The following is a 20,285-nucleotide window of genomic DNA, read 5'->3' as shown; positions in this document are numbered from 1 at the left end:
AAACAGTGCCTTTTCCTATTCCACTTTGATCTTAAAATGTATGAGGTCTTGTAATAAAATAACCTTGTATTTCTTTACAATCACTGAATATGTGTTCAATTTAGACTTCAGCATAACAAGACCAAAACTAGAAAAAATAACCTTAGGATAAAGAGCATGCATTAGTCATGGGGCATTACTGGATGGAAAGTATTGTAAGATTTCAAAAATGTTTGATTCACAATATGCATTAAGAAACCTGTAATCCCAGCACTTTGGGAAGCCGAGACGAGAGTATCTCCTGAGTGCAGGAGTTTGAGACCAGCCTGGGCAACATGGCAAAATTCTGTCTCTACAAAAAATACCAAAAAAAAAAAAAAAAAAAAAACAGCCAGACCTGGTGGTACATGCCTATAGTACCAGCTACTTGGGAGGCTGAGATAGAAGGATCACTTGGATCCCGAGAGATCCAGGCTGCAGCGAGCCAACATCGTGCCACTGCACTGCACTACAGCCTGGGCAACAGAGTGAGACCTTGTTGCAAAAAGGGAAAAAAGGAAGGAAGGGAGAAAGAAAGAAATCCAAAAGTTTATAAAATGTACTAAACCACTCCTTTGCTTATATCTTGACAGAGGCCTCCGTTACACAAAGAATGAAACTTACCACTTTATAGCAACCTTTAAGTTGCCAAACACAACTTTGGTTTAAAAGAAAAAGAAATTATATAATGAAGCCCATGGGAAGAGTGATTACTGGGATTTAATTACTATTTAATCAGATTGTTCCATTATCTGGAATATTCAGAAGGGAATTAACCTAAATAAGTTATAAGCACAATCATACTATCAATAACACTTCTTTGAATGTAACAAAGCTCTGTAGCAGTGAGGGATAAGATACATGGAAAAGATCAGGTCTGTTTGCAAATATCATGGACCCCTTTATAAGAATAGTTTATGATGACAAAAAAATGTAGTTTTCTGTCACAGTCTTGTTTCAAACAGCAGGGACAATAGGAGGAGACTGAAGTAATAACAACAGCATAGTATTCTGAAGGAATTAGCATACCTCAAAAAATTCTTAACGTATTCTCAAAATTAATCTGTCTTTGTGAAAACAGGGCTAGCTGTTTCAATTTGCATTAATCTGTTAAACCATGCACAAGTTCGGTTTACTTAAGTAACATATCCAATGTTAGCTTAATTGATTGTCTGAAAAATTTAATCTGATTAACCAATTATCCGACATGTGAAAGATAATACCTGTGTAATATTAACAATCTGCTCTTGCTGTTTAAGATATACAGAGTTCTATAAAATTAGATTAACCCACAAAATTATCCTAGACCCTGTTCTTTGGGGGTGCCTTTTAATGGTGGCTGGGGGAATTTAGAAGGATTAAAATAAATGGCAAAAAATTAAAAAAATGAAGTTGTGATTCAGGCCATCATCAATTTTCATCTCACAACGAACCATCACCAAAGTGAACCCTCAATCTGCAATCACTGTACTGATAGCCCTCAGGCTTCTGTCAAGATGTATTTTTCCACTGACATCAGCCACTGGTGGTCCTTTTAAAGCTGATTTCACCCAGATCAATACAATCAGACAGATGGAGAGGATGGCAACATAAGTCACAAATGATGACTTGCCTCAAAAGAGCCAACACTGCATGTGCGACATTTCTCTGTAGATGTTGCTTTTGAAGAACCTAACTGTGCTTTCTACAGTATTTTTTTTTAGCCAATACCGTACCCCATCCTAATACCTTGTACAACACAGGGAATCTGGAAGATTCCTAGAACTAATTGACTTGACTTAAACACACCAGAATGGTTGAGTCATGCCCAAGTAACTCTATATGCTCTATGAGAAGCTTTAGCTACTCCTATGATTAAAAATATTTCTATCAACATATGTCTGTAGTACAGAGAACTGAGAATAAGTAACCATACTCATTTACAAAAATACAAATTGTTGTGGGAGCTGTTTTATAAGTGTGTAAAATAAAAGAAACTCAAGAGAAGAGATTTTAGTAAGGATATATCTTTAAGTAGCAGTGGCTAAATGGCCCTGTGCTAGGAAAACTGTTCCCCTGCACAAACTGAAAACTTGCCTCGCTTAGTTCTTTTCCAGTGTTTTTACTATACTGCAAAAGAGTCTTCCAAAAATATAATCTCATATGCATCCCTAAATGTCTAGCCACAAATAATTATTAGTACCTTTTAAATAATCAATTTGTACTCTGAAAAAAGAAGAAAAATATATAACCTTTCCCAAAAATAGGTAGTGGGAAAATAGTAAATACATGCCATTACTCATAGGTGTTATACTTCTTTTTTCATTGCACTTTGCTTTACAAGATATATATTTAATATTCATGTAAAATGCTTTCTTGGCACTAGGTCAGTGTCTTCCCAATGAAGAGCCCATTGATGATACAGAATGGAACTTCTCTTCTAATTAAAGACTGCCTATTATCCAGTGTACTTTTTGTCACATTGAAGAACAGGGAACTTTTTATTCTTATTAAGAAATGGCCTTTCAGATTCAGTAACAAAATGTTCTGTTCCTCAGGAAATAAGAGAAGATCGAGATAGGGCGCGGCTGGACTCCATGGTGCTGCTGATTATGAAACTGGACCAGCTTGATCAGGACATAGAAAATGCCCTCAGCACCAGCTCCTCTCCATCAGGCACACCAACAAACCTGCGGCGGCACGTTCCTGTGAGCTTTCCACTTTCTACTTCTTTTCCCATAGGAGTCGTAACTCTTGACCTTATACAGTCCCTCTTGCAAAGGCAACATCCTTGTTAATGGCATCTAACAACATGTAACCCCAGTACAGTACCATAAAGATAACCAAAATACTTCTATGCATCATGCATACATTCTATGCATAATTCTATGCAGAGAGGCCACAGAGAAATGGGTGATACAAAAGAACTTGTTTATCATTAAACAGGAAGGAAAGTCACCTTAGGAAATTATGGTTTGTAGTGATCAAACCTTCCTTAATTGTCAGTCTTCTCTGATACGAGAGAGACTCTGTTAGCAAGCACTATGTCTATGACTGGCCCACAAATCTGTATTGCATATAGAAGAATCTTATTATAGATTTGCTGCATGAGTAAATGGATGGATGGATGGATGCCAGTTGAACTAACCCAACACACTACAAGAAACAATTTAGATGAGATTAACTTGGGAAAACTCTAAAATTCACTTAGTGAAATACAGTGAAAGAGACAGAGCTGAGAATTGTATTTTATTATGCATCAGTTTTACATAATATAGACACTCTCTTAAGAGTCCAACACTCAAAATTTGGAAGACAGATTCTAGGATCAACTATATGCTTTACATATTTACTATCAGCATCATATTAAAGGCCTTAGTTTGTGCAGATCTAGGATGGTTGAGTTTACTTATAATTAAGCTATGAATCACTTTTCAACTCATCTATTATTTGTGTTATTCAATAATAAACATATTAAGTCAAGAAATTTGTATTTACCTGAGATCAAAGCAGTAGAAAATCATATATATAAATTTGAGCACCTACTGAAATATAACTGTTGCATATCAAATTATTTGATACAAATTCTTCTGCCTTTATTTAAATTGTAAACTGGGTTTTATATTGCACACATCAGCCCACAGAATATAACAATTGTTAGCTCTGTAAATAGAGATGTATTCAGAATAGGCAAAATAATACAGTGGAATAACATTATGAACTTTGTAGTGTAAAGGTCTGAGTTCAAATGTCAGCATTATACCTGACTTTCTGGGAACATCAAGTTATTTAATTTCTCAACTGCAGGTTCATGTGAAAAATGGAGATGTTATTTCCTAACTAATGGCTCGTTGGGAGGCATAAATGAAAAAATGTATATAAGAAGTACCGCACGGATCAAGCACAGAGTACATATTTAGTGATGGTCAGTTCTCCTTCCTTCCCCTTATACTAGACTCACTCACACCAGGCCTTGAGCTAGAGATGAATAAGACATATCCCAAAGCCCTCAAAACTCCTTTTTGATCTTTATGATATTCTAGGTCACCTCTTGTTCTTTATTTATGTTCCTTGGAATTTAAAGCTAATTTTAACATTCTTTCACCATCAAATTTTTTTCCACAGAACTTTCCACTCCTTCTGATAATTGTGTAGTGGAATAAGAGGATTATAATGGCAGGATTAGGACCTGGACCATCTACCAAGGAGCACTGACCCAGATACAGAGGACAAACTGCCTCTGCCCCATCCTCATACTTCACTGTGAATTTATAGATCAGCAGGAAGAACAAGACACAAAGTGAAACACTCACCGCCCCCCTACCCCACCCCAGTTTGAGAATATTTATGAGAAAACGCCAGAAGAAGTTCTGCATATAATAAAAATTATCAAGAATAATATAGTCTTTAAGGATGTCTTTAACATAAAAATAAATTAAAGCACAGGTAGAGATAAAGGTTTAAGGAGGCTGCATAGATAAAACCTTATAGATTGGCTATGGCCTGATGAATTGACACAGCCCAGGATCCGGTGGTTTTCTCCTTTGCAAGCCTGGTTTTACCCAGGCACTCAGAGTGTGCCAGTCTCTTAGGGCTCGCTGAGATAGCCAATCTCATAGGATGAATGGGGATAGGGGATCAGATCAAGACTAAGTATTTAGTGAGTGCTAAGCTTTATGTAAGTTACTTCATTTAACCTCTTGACAGTCCTACCATGAGAAATGTGAGCTTCAGAGAGAGAGGATGAGTAATTTACCTGTGTTCACACTGACGGAGAGTGGTGAGTTATTTACCAAAGGTCACCCAGCAGGTGAGATTTGCATCCACATTAGTCAGACTCCAAAGCCTATGCTCATTCTGCTACATTAGAAACCTTCCCAACATGCCAGTTTTTTCTTTACAATGAGATAAGTACCACTTCCAGAACCAGAATTCCCTGGTTGTCAGACAGTCAGAGCATGTTCTTCCTAATAATGACATATTTTTGAAGTTTGAATTAGGAATAGTTTTCTAGTCAATGTGTAATTAAGGGAAAGTTGACGGTCTCTTGGGATATTTCACTGATACCGTAGGGAAGTTCAGACACACACAGGCCAGAACCACTGTACCACCTTTGATTGGGCCTCCCCTGCTGTTCTGCAGTATCTTTTGGTCTCCCTGGATCTTCTCCCACATTTCAAGGTGGCTATTCAACAATTTTACTTGCACTTATCTCTTAGCATCCTTACCTCTTAACACTCTTGCCTTCCTCTTCTCATAGAAAATTGAGACCATTGAGAGATGTCCCGGCATCACACCTGCAAATAGCTATAGGTGCCTCTTTGCTTCTTTCTCTCCTCCAACATCAATCAAAGATGTGTTGCTCCTGTCATCTAATACTGATCTGTCTCCATCCTCATCTCCATTCCTTCCCACCTCCTGCTTTGCTCTACCAGTTATTCAGACTCTCACTTAGGTTCAAATTCCATTGCTCTGTTCCTACTAGTCCTCACCCTTTTTCTCTTTAGCAAGTATAGTTGGGACTACAGGCATGCATCGCCATGGCTGGCTAATTTTTTTTTTTTTTTTTTTTGGTAGAGATGGGGTTTCTCTATGTTGCCCAGCTCTATGTTCTAGGGCTCCTGGCCTCAAGCAATCTTCACACCTCGGCCTCCCAATGTGTTGGGATTATAAGCATGAGCCATCATACTCAGCCTCTTTCTTGATTTAATTATTGGCTATTGCTCCATCATTTCTCCCCATCCTTTCTCTTATTTGACAGATCCAGCAGTGCCAGTGCAGTCTCTCACCACAACATTCTGTATTTTCTCCACCACCTACCTATTCAATAAATCCTTCCTTAGTTTGACTCTGCTGTTAGTGGATAGGGAGAAGAGATGTGATGGGGAAGAGTTAATTGTTCCTTTTTCCTCTTGACTCTCTTTCTGGAATTGCTCTAGCTCATCCCTTCCTTTATAAGCCAAACTTTAATCTCCTCTTTGTCTTAATTTCTTTCTTGATTTATAATTTATTTTTATTTTTTAGAGACAAGGTCTTGTTCTTTTTTTTGAGATGGACTCTCGCTCTGTCACCAGGCTAGAGTGCAGTGGCGCAATCTAGGCTCACGGCAACCTCTGCCTCCCTGGTTCAAGCAATTCTCCTGCCTCAGCCTCCCAAGTAGCTGTGATTAAAAGCATGCACCACCATGCCCAGCTAATTTTTGAATTTTCAGTAGAGACAGGGTTTCACCATGTTGGCCAGGATGGTCTCGATCTCCTCACCTCGTGATCTGCTCACCTCGGCCTCCAGAAGTGCTGGGATTACAGGCGTGAGCCACCACACCTGGCCAAGGTCTTGTTCTTTTAATTTGCATGCTTAATATGTGTTGCTCAGGCTGGAGTGCACTGGCACAATAACTCACTGTGGCCTCAAACTCCTGGGCTCAAGCAATCCTCCTGCCTCAGCCTCCTGAGTTGCTGAGAATACAAGCGCACATTACCATGCCTGGCTAATTTTTTTTTTTTTTAATTTTTGTAGAGATGGGGTTTCTCTACATTGCCCAGGCTGGTCTAGAGCTCCTGGCCTCAAGCAGTCTTCCCACCTCGGCCTCCCAATGTATTGAGATGACAGGCATGAGTCATCATACCCAGTCTCTTTCTTAATTTAATTATTGGTTATTGCGCCATCATTTTTCCTCACTCCTTCTCTTGTCTGACAAATTCAGTAGTGCCAGTGCAGTCTCTCACCACAGCATCAGATGTGATTTACCTGCTTCTCTTCCTTGACTTTCACTGCTCTCCTGGCTTCTGGCTGCTCTCCATTTTTCCTTCTATTCTTCAACAGTTGCTTTCCAGACCCTTCAGTGGCTCCTCTTCCTATATCTGCCCCTGAAATCTTATATCTAGATTCTAGACTCAATTCTCCCTTTATCTGGCTTTGAATATTCTCCCTGGGAATCACCACAGCTTCCATTCCCTTCTCTATATTGAGGGTCAGCAGTGAGACCTTTTCTTGTGGTCTCCAGATCAGAACAACCAATGGATCACAAGATGCACCCTTCCCTGGGCCAGAGTTGAGTGGTATAAGCACTTCTAGCACACATCACACTGGAGTCCCTGCCATGATAAAAACCCCACAGAGAGCTCTATATTCCCAAAGAATGGCATAACTGGAGGCATAGGGTAACACTGATAGATGGAGTCTTGCAGGAAGATGGCCTGTAGGATTAATTACACAAAGCAAGTTGGGTTGGGGGGGGCGGGTAACAGGGAAATTATGAGTGGCAGTTGTAATGAGTACCCAGGGTTTATTCACTGCTTGGTCTGCTTATGGTAGCAGTGGAAAATTAAAGGAGGGAGCGGATGTGAGAGATTTTGGGAGAGCTTTTGGGTAATTTCTCAAATTGAACAGAGAACAGAAGAGAAAATAATAAAGATTTGTACTAAACTACACATTGATGGTCCTATTAAAATTACTTATTTAGTTGTGTTTGAGGCCTCTGCAGAATATCATGGTGGTTACTTTAAAAAGTTGGATTCTGGGGTCAGACACACCTGAACTCTAATGCCAGCTCTACCTTGGGATACGACTTTGGTCAAGTTATTTACCTTAAGCCTTGGCTTCACCCACCATCTCTCGTGTGATGATGGTAACTTCCACGTAGAGGTGATGAACATTGAAGCAGATAATGGTTGTAAAGCCTTGTCTGTGAAAGGTAAAAATGCAATAAACGGTAGTTTTTAAAAGTTATTATTTCACCTTGGAAGCATTACATGGTTCAAAAGATACAAGATTACTCTGTTATTTATCTAATCAAATCACAAACAGGAAATTAATGCAAGGCCAGGCGCAGCAGCTCACGTCTGTAATCTCAGCACTTTGGGAGGCTGAGACGGACGGATCACGAGGTCAGGAGATTGAGACCATCCTGGCTAATACGATGAAACCCCGTCTCTAGTAAAAATACAAAAATTTAGCCGGGTGTGGTGGTGGGCGCCTGTAATCCCAGCTACTCGGGAGGCCGAGGCAGGAGAATGGTGTGAACCCAGGAGGCGGAGCTTGCAGTGAGCAGAGATCGCACCACTGCACTCCAGCCTGGGCAACAGAGTGAGACTCCGTCTCAAAAAAAAAAAAAAAGAAAGAAAAGAAATTAATGCAAAATATTTCTGATATACCTAAAGGTCAAATATAAATGGCTTATAAATTACCTGCTACTTATGATTATGCATTCAATGTTTATAAATTATCTGCTATTTAAGACTACTTGATGTTGATCCAATTTGAAATTCTAATGAATCATATTCTTAGGGTAAAATGTAGTTTGTCTTTTCTATGCAAAAAAACAAAGAAGAAGAAGAAGAAGACATGGCCCTGATCCAAAATCATTCCAGGCATCAGAAATTTGCTCAGAGTTATGTCTTCTACACACACGCACACGCACACACACACATGCACATACATTTAAAGAGTGTAACATTACTTTTTGCTGCGTATGTCTTTTGTACCCTTCCAACTGGAGAAAATTTAGTTTTGATGCTTTTGATCACATAATTTTACAGCAGAAACAATAAAATTACTTCTATTGTGAGAATTAAGGAAGAAAAGGTATTAATATTTGTCAGTCTAGTAGTTTCTTCATAAAACTGTATTTAACGATCATGTTCTATCTGCCAGGCACTATTCTAACACCTGGGGACACATCAGTAAACAAGACAGGTGAAGTCCTTACTCTTGCGATGCATAGATTCTAATAGAGGAAGACAGACAAGAATTATAAAGAGGCTGGGTGCGGTGGCTCATGCGCGCAATCCCAGCTTTTGGGAGGCCAAGGCGGGTGGATCACGAGGTGAGGAGTTCGAGACCAGTCTGGCCAACATAGTGAAACCCCGTCTCTACTAAAAATACAAAAAATTAGCTGGGTGTGGTGGTGTGCACCTGTAATCCCAGCTACTCAAGGAGGTTGAGGCAGGAGAATTGCATGAACTCAGGAGGTGGAGGCTGCAGTGAGCCAAGATTGCGCCATTGCACTCCAGCCGGGGCGACGGTGTGAGACTCCATTCCAAAAAAAAAAAAAGAATTATAAAGAGAGATGGATGCATAGATGGATAGGAAGGTAGACAAATTTATAGATGGTAGATAGGTACCTAATAGATAGATAGATAGATGATAGATAGATAGATAGATAGATAGATAGAATATGTAGTAGATTAGCAAGCAAAGAGGATTGGAAAATAGAGAATATGTTATAGAGGTTGAAGGGAGTGAAGTTCTTTGGTTTGAAATGTCAACGGATGCTTCTCTGAGGTAGTAAGATTCAAGCTGACAACAGAGTGACAAGAAGGGGCCAGCAAAGGGAAATACTGGGACAAGGGACAAGAAAGAGCACAGGGCCTAGTCCCTCCTGTAGACACCAGCTTACTGTATTAAAAGAAATTATCAAGAGGAGGTAGGACTGAGAAACAAGAGAATGGCAAAGCTAAGACTGGAGAGTTGGGGTGCGGGACATGATATTTGACCATGTGAACCACGGCAAAGTTGAGATGTATAAAGAGGATACATAGAGATATTTAAATCATAGTTTTCTCAGATTAAAAGCCTAGAGTGATACGTGCCTTTGCTCCATCCCCTCTGCAATTTCCCCCTCCCACCTTTCCTCTGTGCAACCAAACCACCTATAACTCAAAGAAAGCATATGATATATTAAATGCGCAGCCTTTGCAGAGGTTACCAGGTAATTCTATCCACTCAACAGACATGTCTTGACCTCACACTATGTAGTAGTTGCTAAGAAAACATAATAATAATAACAATATTTATTGGAGTAGCTAGCATTTAATGAAAATTATTAGGAGCCAATTACCAGCACTTTGCTTTATGCTTATGAAACTCCATGAGTGTCTACTATCATTATACCCATTTTCAAACAAGGGAATTGAATGACACATAACAAGACATAATTCCTGCCCTCAGTTTATTAGATAGACATTTCAGCTCAAATATTCCAGGCCACCGTAATAGCTGTCACCATAGAGGTTGAATAGGAACATAGAAGAGATTGAGGTAAGAAGAAATGAGAACTCTCTTTGTATTTGAAATCCAGTGGCCCTGTGAGGAACTCTGGGCAGCGCTGTATAGTCAGAGGAGTGTCAGTGAGTGATTCAAGGTCACACAGTAAGGAAGGTGTGGCTGTGGGCTTCTGCCTTCTAACTTCTCTGCAGGGCCCTAGCTAGCCACACTCCCTGCCTTTCCAATGCACACTCAGCTGTTAAATTACCAAATAGTATGTTACCTCTTTCTCAAGTATTTGCAGACCCTCTGATGAGTACAATGGTTCTTACCAAATAATGCATGATTATGTGTGACACGTCACTGTCAGTTGTCAGCAACTCTTTAGTGTATCAGTGTGCACTGGGAGAAAGAAGAAGTGACAAAGTTCTGGTGGTAGGAAGAAGGGCATTTGGGAACATTCACATGTCCTTCATACCAGTGCATTTGTTTTTTAATAGGATCTGGAATCAGGATCTGAAAGTGGAGCAGATACCATTTCAGTAAATCAGACACGAGTAAATTTGTCTTCTGACACTGAGTCCACGGACCTCCCATCTTCCACTCCAGTAGCCAATTCTGGAACCAAACCCAAGACTACGGTGAGTTCTAAATAATAACAGAGAGTCTCTACGTGTAAATGTTGATGATCATCAGGTAAGAGTTGATATTCATTCGATATAGAAGAAATACTGTTGGAATCTTAGCCATAGTGACTTAATGATATTTAATTTATTTAATTAAGTACAACCCTAGAAAAATGTTTTTTGTTTTATAAATGATAACACAAGTACTTCACTGAAACAGGTCATGAATCAAGAATTATTCGAAACGTGCTAATTAAATTTCATTGCCGGATACTCAGAGCTTTAAAGAGCCAAGAATGCAAAATCTGGAGATGCCTTTCCCTACACTATTATCTTGACAGTATTGCTTACCAGTTAGAAAATTGTTCCTCTAAGATGTGATGAATGATAGACGACAGATGATGATGGATGGATGGATGGATGGATGGATGGACAGATAGACTGATTGATTGATAAGGAGAAACAGATGATAGAGATAGATGTAGATGGATGGATAGACAGATAATAATTATATAAATATATTTAGATTGATATAGACAGACATAGATAGATAATAGGTTTATATGCAGAGATATATAAAACATCCACATCAAACATTTTCTGTGGGAATTAAATGAAAGAGCACATATAAAAAGTGCTTAGTGAAATGATCAGTGCAGAATAAGTAATGCATAAATGTAAGGTACTGTCATTATTATTATGATAATTAGTAGACTTTACAATGCTATTAAAACTTATTCCACATGGAATAATACACCACGAAAGGAGGAAACTGCTTTGGTTTGAAATGCTTCATGTGTAGATTGTGAATAAAAGACATTTTCCTTTAAGGAAAGAGTTGAACTGCAACAGGAAAATAGTATTTGACTCTAAAAGGTAACACTTATGAAGGAAGTAATTACTACTTCAAATATCTAAAATCCCAGTAGTTCCAAAATAACCTTTCCTAGTTTAGTGAAAATCATAGTGTTGTATTATTTTTTATGCAACACAAAGAAACAAGTTTGGATTGCTTGTTCACTGCATTTAAAATAAAAGTCAAGTCTAAAATAGGACTCAAAAGATAATACTCTGATTTTAAAACATGACAGATTTGCTGCAATTGCAAGAAGAATGAAAATATGTCATTTAAATGACAGATACGCATGGCTTAAATATTTACATGGAAATTATGTTCCCTGTGTTATTTATATCTAAAACATTTTTATGGAATAAATATTTATTGAACATCTACTATATGCCATGCACTAGGCTACATGAAAAAGACTTGGGGAGGAATAAAACATATTCCTTGTCTTTAAACAGCTTACATTCCAGCAAAAGGAGGTAAGTATGTAAACAGTGAAACGCAATGAAATGCTGTACAAGCTATGATAATACTGCATATATTGGGAATAGGAGGAACTAGAAAGATACTGCACAATGATCTTTCGGGGTAAACTGAAAAATCAACAGTAATGTGTGCCAACAGGTACACTGAAATGGAATGGTGCTCTTCATTTTCATAATGGGTAAGGAAAGTTGAGATGCAAAATTAAGATAAGAAAATGGAAGATCTCATTTTACCATATTCTGATTAAAGAAAATGTTTTTCTTAAAAAACCTTCTCAACAGTTTTGACTTGAAGGTTTTGAAAATCATTGATGCATTGGCTTTTTCTTTTTTTTCAACATTGGGGACAGGTGTGGGGCTCACTTTTTAAAGGTATTTATTATTTAATTCACTTTGTAAAGCACCTGTTAGTATCCTGCAGGGCAGTTCTTTTCTCCCTGATATAATTACTGGTGGTATCCACTTTCTCTCTTGGAACATACACATTTCAGTGACTGAGTGTCTCATAATTCATAACAATGAGTTGAAGAATGTGTGCAGTTGCTTACTCTTTCTTCAGTTACCCCTGTGTTTATAAATATGGTCAATATAGTTACACAGAAGTGCGTATACATTTTTATGGTAACCATTTTTTGTAAAAGTTTTTTATGAGAAACATAAACTCATCAGTTTTCACAGTGTTTTAATTTGTTAGAGTGATGGAATCTTTCTTCAATTTTTTTTTGTTTTGCCATCAATTGACCACCCCACAATCGCAATTAAGAAATATTTAAATCAATTATTGAACAGAAAAATATTTGTATGTACTCCAAATCAAATATTTTCTGAAAATATGTTAACTTGGAAGCAAATTGGATGCGAGTAGTATCCAGCTGTTCAGGTGTGACTTGTCATCTGGGAATACAAGCAGAGCTTTCTAGTCATGCCACAACTCATCAGCCAGTGAGCCATGAGAATTGTCATGCAGTTGACTCAGCCTTCACAACAGTATTCCTCTTCAACACCACCAAACACTGCAAAATAATCTTGACCAGCAGCACAGGTGGACTTAGACAATACACATGCAGCTCTGTCCAGCTACTGGACTATAATTTAGTAAAGTTCTCTAGCAGGCCATGAAGAGTACCCAGAAAGAAATACTCCACCATCAAAGACAATCGACTTTTACGAAATTTCTTTTCTTTAAATGGCCAATAATAAGAGTAACTTGAAAAACAGGCTATTTTTTCTTTTTTTTTTCTTTTTTTTTTTGAGACGGAGTCTCGCTCTGTCGCCCAGGCTGGAGTGCAGTGGTGCAATCTCAGCTCACTGCGAGCTCTGCCTCCTGGGTTCACGGCATTCTGCCTCAGCCTCCCGAGTAGCTGGGACTACAGGTGCCCTCCACCACGCCTGGCTAATTTTTTTGTATTTTTAGTAGAGAGACGGTTTCACTGTGTTAGCCAAGATGGTCTTGATCTCCTAACCTCATGATCCACCCGCCTCGGCCTCCCAAAGTGCTGGGATTACAGGCGTGAGCCACCACACCTGGCCTGTTTTTCTTAAAGTTCCAGGATACATGTGCAGAACGTGCAGGTTTGTTACATAGGTATGCATACGTGTGCCATGGTGGTTTGCTGCACCTATCTACCTGCCATCTAGGTTTAAGGTGGGAATGAAAATTAGTTCAACCATTGTGGAAGACAGTGTGTTAATTCCTCAAGGACCTAGAATCAGAAATATGATTTGACCCAGCAATCCAATTACTGAGTATATATCCAAAGGAGTATAAATCATTCTAGTATAAAGACACATGTACATGTATGTTTATTAAAGCACTTAAAGCACTGTTTACAGTAGCAAAGACATGGAACCAACCCGAATGCCCATCAATGATAGACTGGATAAAGAAAATGTGGTACATATACACCATGGAATACTATGCAGCCATAAAAAGGAATGAGACCATGTCCTTTGCAGGGGCATGCATGAAGCTACACTTTTGTTTTGAGGGGAATCATTCTTTCAATTTGTGTGTGGGCATGTTATTTTTTCTTGTTATTGGTGTTGTTATTCTTTTAGGTACACCCTTTTCACTACAGTTCAAAAGTAATTCTTGGGCCATGGATCAATTTTATGGTTGGAATATCAGAATGAAGAATTTTGTCTATGAGAGATTAAACAGATACTTTCTCCCACAATTTGGAGCTTAAGGAATAAATGATATGTAATAACAGTCTAGATACTTTATGAAGAGAGAGAAAACTGTAATATCCTACAGAGCTGTTCTTTTTACCATGAACAAAAGTTTTAATTTTAAGTAGAAATATGAAATTCTAAGAACACCTACCTAACACATCAAACTATAATGAACTAACCCTCTGCTCTGTAATGACACAATCATTACAGCACGACTACCTTCATTCCATAATTAAGGTTACCTTTGATTTGCTGCTATGAAATCTATTTATAGTAGTGACCACAGTAACAACCACAGAAATTTGGCTTTCCTTTTGTGTGTAAGGTCTCTGGGTTTCTAAGTGCCTATTTTTCAGTAAGATTATTTTTCTTTTAAACTTATTCTTAGAATAGGACCGATGAGTCATCATCAGATTTTTCATTAATTCTATGTGTAGATCATGCTGAAAATTAAGCAGTAATATAGATTTCTGAGGTATATTTCATAAAAAAATGAAAGTTAAAATGTAGGTTATCCACTGTCAAAAAACACATTAGAAAAAAGAAGAGGCTTATGGTGTCATGTTACCAAGCTCATCAATTTCTCTCCTAAATTGTTTTGTTCTTTTGACACAATCTCACAATGCCTTTCGTACTAGACTCTTCCATAAACAACCCGCGAGCCCTTGTATCATGTTATGTAAAGTGCTTTGATTCACTGTGCAACAGTACACTGATATCACTCTCTTCAGTGGCTTGAGTTGTTCCTGGTATTAATATAGGATTGTTTCACGAAAGGTTTTAAAGCTGAACATTAAAATCTCTGAGGTTTTGTTGTGGTTGTTTTTCCTAAAGATAATTTACTTATAAGTGCAGATATTCATTAAATCACTATTAATCAAATATTTATGAAGAAAAGAGCCAAGCCCCAGAAAACAAGAAAAATTTCCTATTTGTAAAATAAGTAACTGAAGGAACAAGGAGAGTCTAGCATTCTACTGTGTAGAATAATCAAGAACATCAAGAGTACACAGGATATGGCACCCAGATCCTCAATGCTCCTGAACGCTATACTTTACAGGGATTCACAGGCTCAGCACCTGGATTCAGAATTAATATAAATTGGCTTGAGCTGTTATTATATCAGAAACAAAATGTCACTAATATTTGAATGCTCAATGCACAAGAAGAGTTTTACTGAACAATAAAAAAAATGGCTGGCTCCTCCAAGCATAGTGTAGGTTACAGGCTTTTAACATCATTTTCTAAATCATATATCCACCACAGATTTTATAGATATGTTTACATATATGTATGTGTATGAATGAATGTATATATATGTATACATATAAAATAGATTATATATGCATATATTTGTGTCCTTGTGTGTGTACATATATTCACATCAGATGTTATTTTTCAAAAATAACATGTGATATTATTTTCTGAAGTGTTATTTTGATGTTATTTTCAAAAAGCCTGTGTTGAATAATTCTTAACTATACAGTAGAATTTTTAAAGGGAACCAAATTAGTAATTATTAAGTTCTTATGTAGTCATACAATCTTTCAGTATAAATTATATTTATTAATTATGTATAAAACTTTCTCAGGATAAACACAGAAACCACAAATGCAGATTTATTGTTACCAATGTATAGTGTGGTTTTGCTTGTGTCTGGGATAGGAGTTTCAGCTCTGGAATGATCTGAGAAATAGTTTCAAAACAGAAAAGCTTCTAAGGTAGAAGAACAAAGGTTAATGGGCACCTTTTACAAACAATAATCAACTTGTTCATTATTGCCACTGAAAAAGTAATGGTAGCACTACTTAAAAATAAAAATTATAATGCCAATAAAATACTATTTCAGTGGAGTGTTATTTATTAAAGATGTCTAAGACAGTCTGATTGGGAGTACGACATTAATCCATGATGAATTAGCCACAAGGGATTAGGAAAAACAATTCTTATTCTGGAATTTATTAATCAACTAAATTCCTGAACCTGTAAAATTATATTTTAAATTATGTATGCATAATTTATGTATGCATGGTTTTACATATTTTATATATAATTTTAAAATGTATACATTTACACATTTCTGGGAAGACTGTCAAGAACTCCATCAGTCTTTCAAAGACTGTGCAAATCCCCATGAAGAAATGCTACATTTGAGTTTTCACGGTTCAGTCATTCAGTGAAGGAACCCAGTGTTGAACATGCGAACGTCTTTGCTACAAATAATAAATATGCTGCAGGTACATTGACATTTGGGTTTATTTCCTAATGGATCATTGCACGGTATTACCTTTGCAATAAATTAGGCTATACTTTAGGTATATGTGAAAACTGATTCTTCTATGAAACTATAAAATGTCATTTGCATTTGTTCCAACTATACCACATATAAGCAAAAATAAAACTGATCCAAAAACAAGAGAAAAACCACCAAGGTTTTCCCTTAGTAATTTCAATGTAAACCAGGTTTTATATTTCTAAATCCAATCACATATCCCATACATATGATCATTAAACTAAAGTCACTGTGCTTGTGATATATTAGTGAGAGGTAATGAAACTGAAAAAAAAATCTTGAAATTCTACCTTTCACATCATTTTAAAGTATCATTTAAAATTAAATTTAAAGGCAAATTTTTAGTGATAGCTTTATTTTGTTTTACCATGTTATCATATACTATATGTTTGCTTAAATGGTTATCAGATGAATTTTTTAAGAAGACTGGTGATTTTCCCTAATGCTGTTCAATATTTAAAACAAAACAGAAGGATAAAGTACTGTCTTTTACAAGTAGAAACTGGAAATGTTTATTTTCACTGAAGTCTTGGGGAAAGAATTCAAGGTAATATATAAAATTGGCTAGAATTTAAATAGTATTTTATGTCACATATGTTATTATTAGCTTTCATATCCTGAGGAAAGAAACAGTCAACATACTAAAGGAAAAAACGATATACATGGAATTTTTAAGGGAAGTTTAGACAACTTCTTCAGAAACATCAAAAAATTTGAATTAATACAGTTTTTAATTAAAACATTTAAACACAAATGTAATAGTCTTAGAAAAGAATGTCTTTTGATGTCTTGCTTTTGAATATGGCAATTTCATTTTGCCATGTCAAAGCAATCACATTAAAGTATGTGGATTTTTAAAGAAAGATTTGCTTCTGTTGGTAAGATCCTCATTGTTTATTAGAAAGAAAAATAGGCAAAATTTATAGCTTTTTAAGGAAGAACTGAGTCACCAGAGAGCTGGAAAAAATATTTCTAAAAAGGAAATTGTTCAGTGATTATTATAATGTGATATTTCCTAGAATTCTGTGATTTAAAAGCACAGAGGATTTCATTCACCTAGTCTGGATTTTGAAATAATAAATAAGTGTGCAATTCATTAATTTTGGACTTTGAAAAACAGAAATATTTCCACGGCCATTTACTTTTATATTTAAAATAAATTCAAAATTCTCTAATTTCTTGTTGTTTTCAGATACTGACGTCTGTTTCCAATCCATTTACATGTTAACTCAAGACAGTCTTGTCTGTGATGGGTTATTCCATCTTCACGGTCACCTCCTCATATACATCTTTCCACTTTGAATCTTAGAATTTCATTCTGTCGAGAATAACTTGTATCTTGATATATATAATACTTAGCTCTGAACACATGATACTTAAATAATTTTGGGGGCTGGCAAACTTGTTTTTCTCCCTTGTGTTTAGTTTGTAGTAATCTGGTTAATTAAGTATCTGGAGCAGAATTCATAAAACCAAAAGAAATACGGGAAAAAATGAACACATAAGAATGATAGATTAGAATTGAATAGATTAATAGCATAAGAAATAATATTTAAAAATCATTCCTGCAACCTAAGACTTTAGTCATATGAATAGTACTTTGCATGCTATCATCATTACAATGAGAAAAATTTAGTTTTTCCGTGGACCAATGTGACTTCTTGAATTCAACTCATATTTTCGTCCAAGAGAAATAACAACTGCCAGTTACTTCTGGGCAATAAAAAATGGCAAGCCAACAGCATGCCACATCATAGCAACCAAGAGTATAATTCATAGCACTGAGGAGTAATAATAACTGGTAAGCCATTTTCACAGTCTTCACTTTATTCATTTCAAACCTAGTTGTCTCCAAGCTCTAATTACATATTAAATATTTTCCCATATTTTTCTACCTTCTTGCTAACAGATTGATAATTAATTCTGTCCCAGGCATTTGATGGCCTCTGTGCTCATGTCTTAAAGACAGTTAAAGTCATTGAAAGGTTTAAGCAAGGATTTCATGTGAATATACAAAGTTTACACAGAGGGCCTTCTTGACTATAGTTTTGAGCTGAATCAATCACATACCAAATTTCAAAATGAAACAATAAAAATATAAGCCAACCATATGAGTAGTCTGAAAATCACATATATAAATATTTGGAATCATGTAACAGAAATCTGAAAGTAAAGGAATTGTTTACTCTGTATCCTCATAAAGTCCTAAGATGCCACCACTTGAAAACCTCCTTTATCCTTGACTGTTTTGGTTATTTAATGAATACTTTATGTACTCGCTTCATTTATTTTTAAATCAATCAACTATACTCCTTAGATTTTTGTTGTCATTGTTGGGTTTTAGCGTTTCTCTAGTCTTTCTACTTTAGCCAGCTGGTATAATCCAGATGACCTCCTGAATCAGTAGATTCCTTCAAAGGAAAATCCATTGATGTTATGAAATTGACTCTAATTGTTTCCTCTTTACTGTAGATTGCTTTATCTGTGTTGTTGTTGTTGTTACTGTTGTTGTTTTCTTTATTCATTTTGAAGGTCCTATCTTTGTATCAGGACTGTAGTAATTTACTAGATAAGCATTTACCAAATTAGTTATAATATGAAATGCAGAGAATGATGCAAACAAGCACTAATAACCAAATAAATCAGGGCCGCTCCCACCATGCACTCTAGGGCACCCCCAAAACTGCCGTCCTCTGCCTGTCCCAGCCAAGCTGACTGAGCTTTATCTCTTTTATATATTGGCCTTCTTTATAAGATGTTCTTTGAGTAATCCATGACACAGATTTCATTTAAATTCTAGACTAAACAAATTATAAGAAAGAGGAAAATGTTGACAATTTTTTTTTTATGTCCAGCCTCTAGGATAAGCCTGTTTCATTTCCAAGAGCATCCCCACGAAGTTGCCCCCAGTACTTCCCTGTCGCTAAGGCATTGCATTCATTTCTAAGGTTTCTTCATCAGTGAGTTCTGAACCCTGGACTGGACAGACAATAAGAAACAAAAACAAAATGTAAAAGACAGCAGACACCAGATTAGAGCAACTCAACCTAGCCCGGGTCTATGGTTCTGCTGGCCCAAATCATTGAGGTCTTAATGTAGAACAAATTCAATACTTTAGAACACAGGGTTTTAGGTAGATCATTGGACATTATTTTTTACATTTTTTCTTCTGTGGATGTAAGTCAGAATATTAAATGATTTTTTAGAAGATGAACGTTTAGAATTGAAAACTAGTAGAATTTCCATTTAAAGATATTTCCCAAGCAAATATTAACCAAATATTTAATTTCACATTTAGCATTTCGTGGATATATCAAAGTTGTGAGATCATTCTCCCACTTGTATTTGTAGTTTTCTTTTTGTGTTAAGTCCAATGATACACACACACGCGCACGCTCACACACATAGTTTTGTCTTGCTCAAGGTAGGTGTCTACCTGCATCGAGGGAAGATTGTGGGGTGGGAGTGTTCTGCTTCCTTTTCCTTTCTAGCTTATTCTATACATCACTTGCTAGCACCTTTGTGATGGGGGGCAGAGGCCTTGCAAGAACAGGAAAGTTCTCACTGGATGAAAATATGCAATCTGTAGGTCCACAAGATATTAATCTCTTGCCTGCTATATCGATTATCTGTTGTTGTATAATAAATTATAAACTTAGTGGCTTAAAGTAACAATAACGCAACCTCATGAAAGACCTTGCCTGAACAAACCACTCCTGAATTCCTGATACATGCACACCATGGAACATAATTGATGATTAGTACTGTTTTAAGCCATTAAATTAAGAGGGGGTTGTTATGCAGCTAATCTCACAGTTCCACGCATGTCAGAAATTTAGAGCAACTTAGTTGTATGGGTCTTTCGTGAGGCTGCAGTC

At 36.7% G+C, this 20,285-nt stretch overlaps 1 protein-coding gene across 6 annotated transcripts in view; it reads left to right on the top strand.

The window, feature by feature from the left end:
- The window catches only part of DLC1 (DLC1 Rho GTPase activating protein), a 521,260-nt gene that overhangs the window by 200,446 nt on the left and 300,529 nt on the right, over positions 1–20,285 (top strand). For all 6 annotated transcript variants that reach the window (NM_001348082.2, NM_001348081.2, NM_001413124.1 and 3 more), the window contains exons 3-4: positions 2,556–2,705; positions 10,482–10,622. Coding sequence is in view for 5 of the 6 variants with exons in the window: in NM_001348081.2 (NP_001335010.1) it covers positions 2,556–2,705; positions 10,482–10,622 (291 nt within the window). In the remaining variant the exon portion in view is untranslated. The remainder of the gene's footprint in view (positions 1–2,555; positions 2,706–10,481; positions 10,623–20,285) is intronic.

This window comes from Homo sapiens, chromosome 8 (assembly GCF_000001405.40).
Source record: "Homo sapiens chromosome 8, GRCh38.p14 Primary Assembly".
Classification (NCBI taxonomy): domain Eukaryota; kingdom Metazoa; phylum Chordata; class Mammalia; order Primates; family Hominidae; genus Homo; species Homo sapiens.
This window is presented reverse-complemented; position numbering and strand designations above follow the sequence as displayed.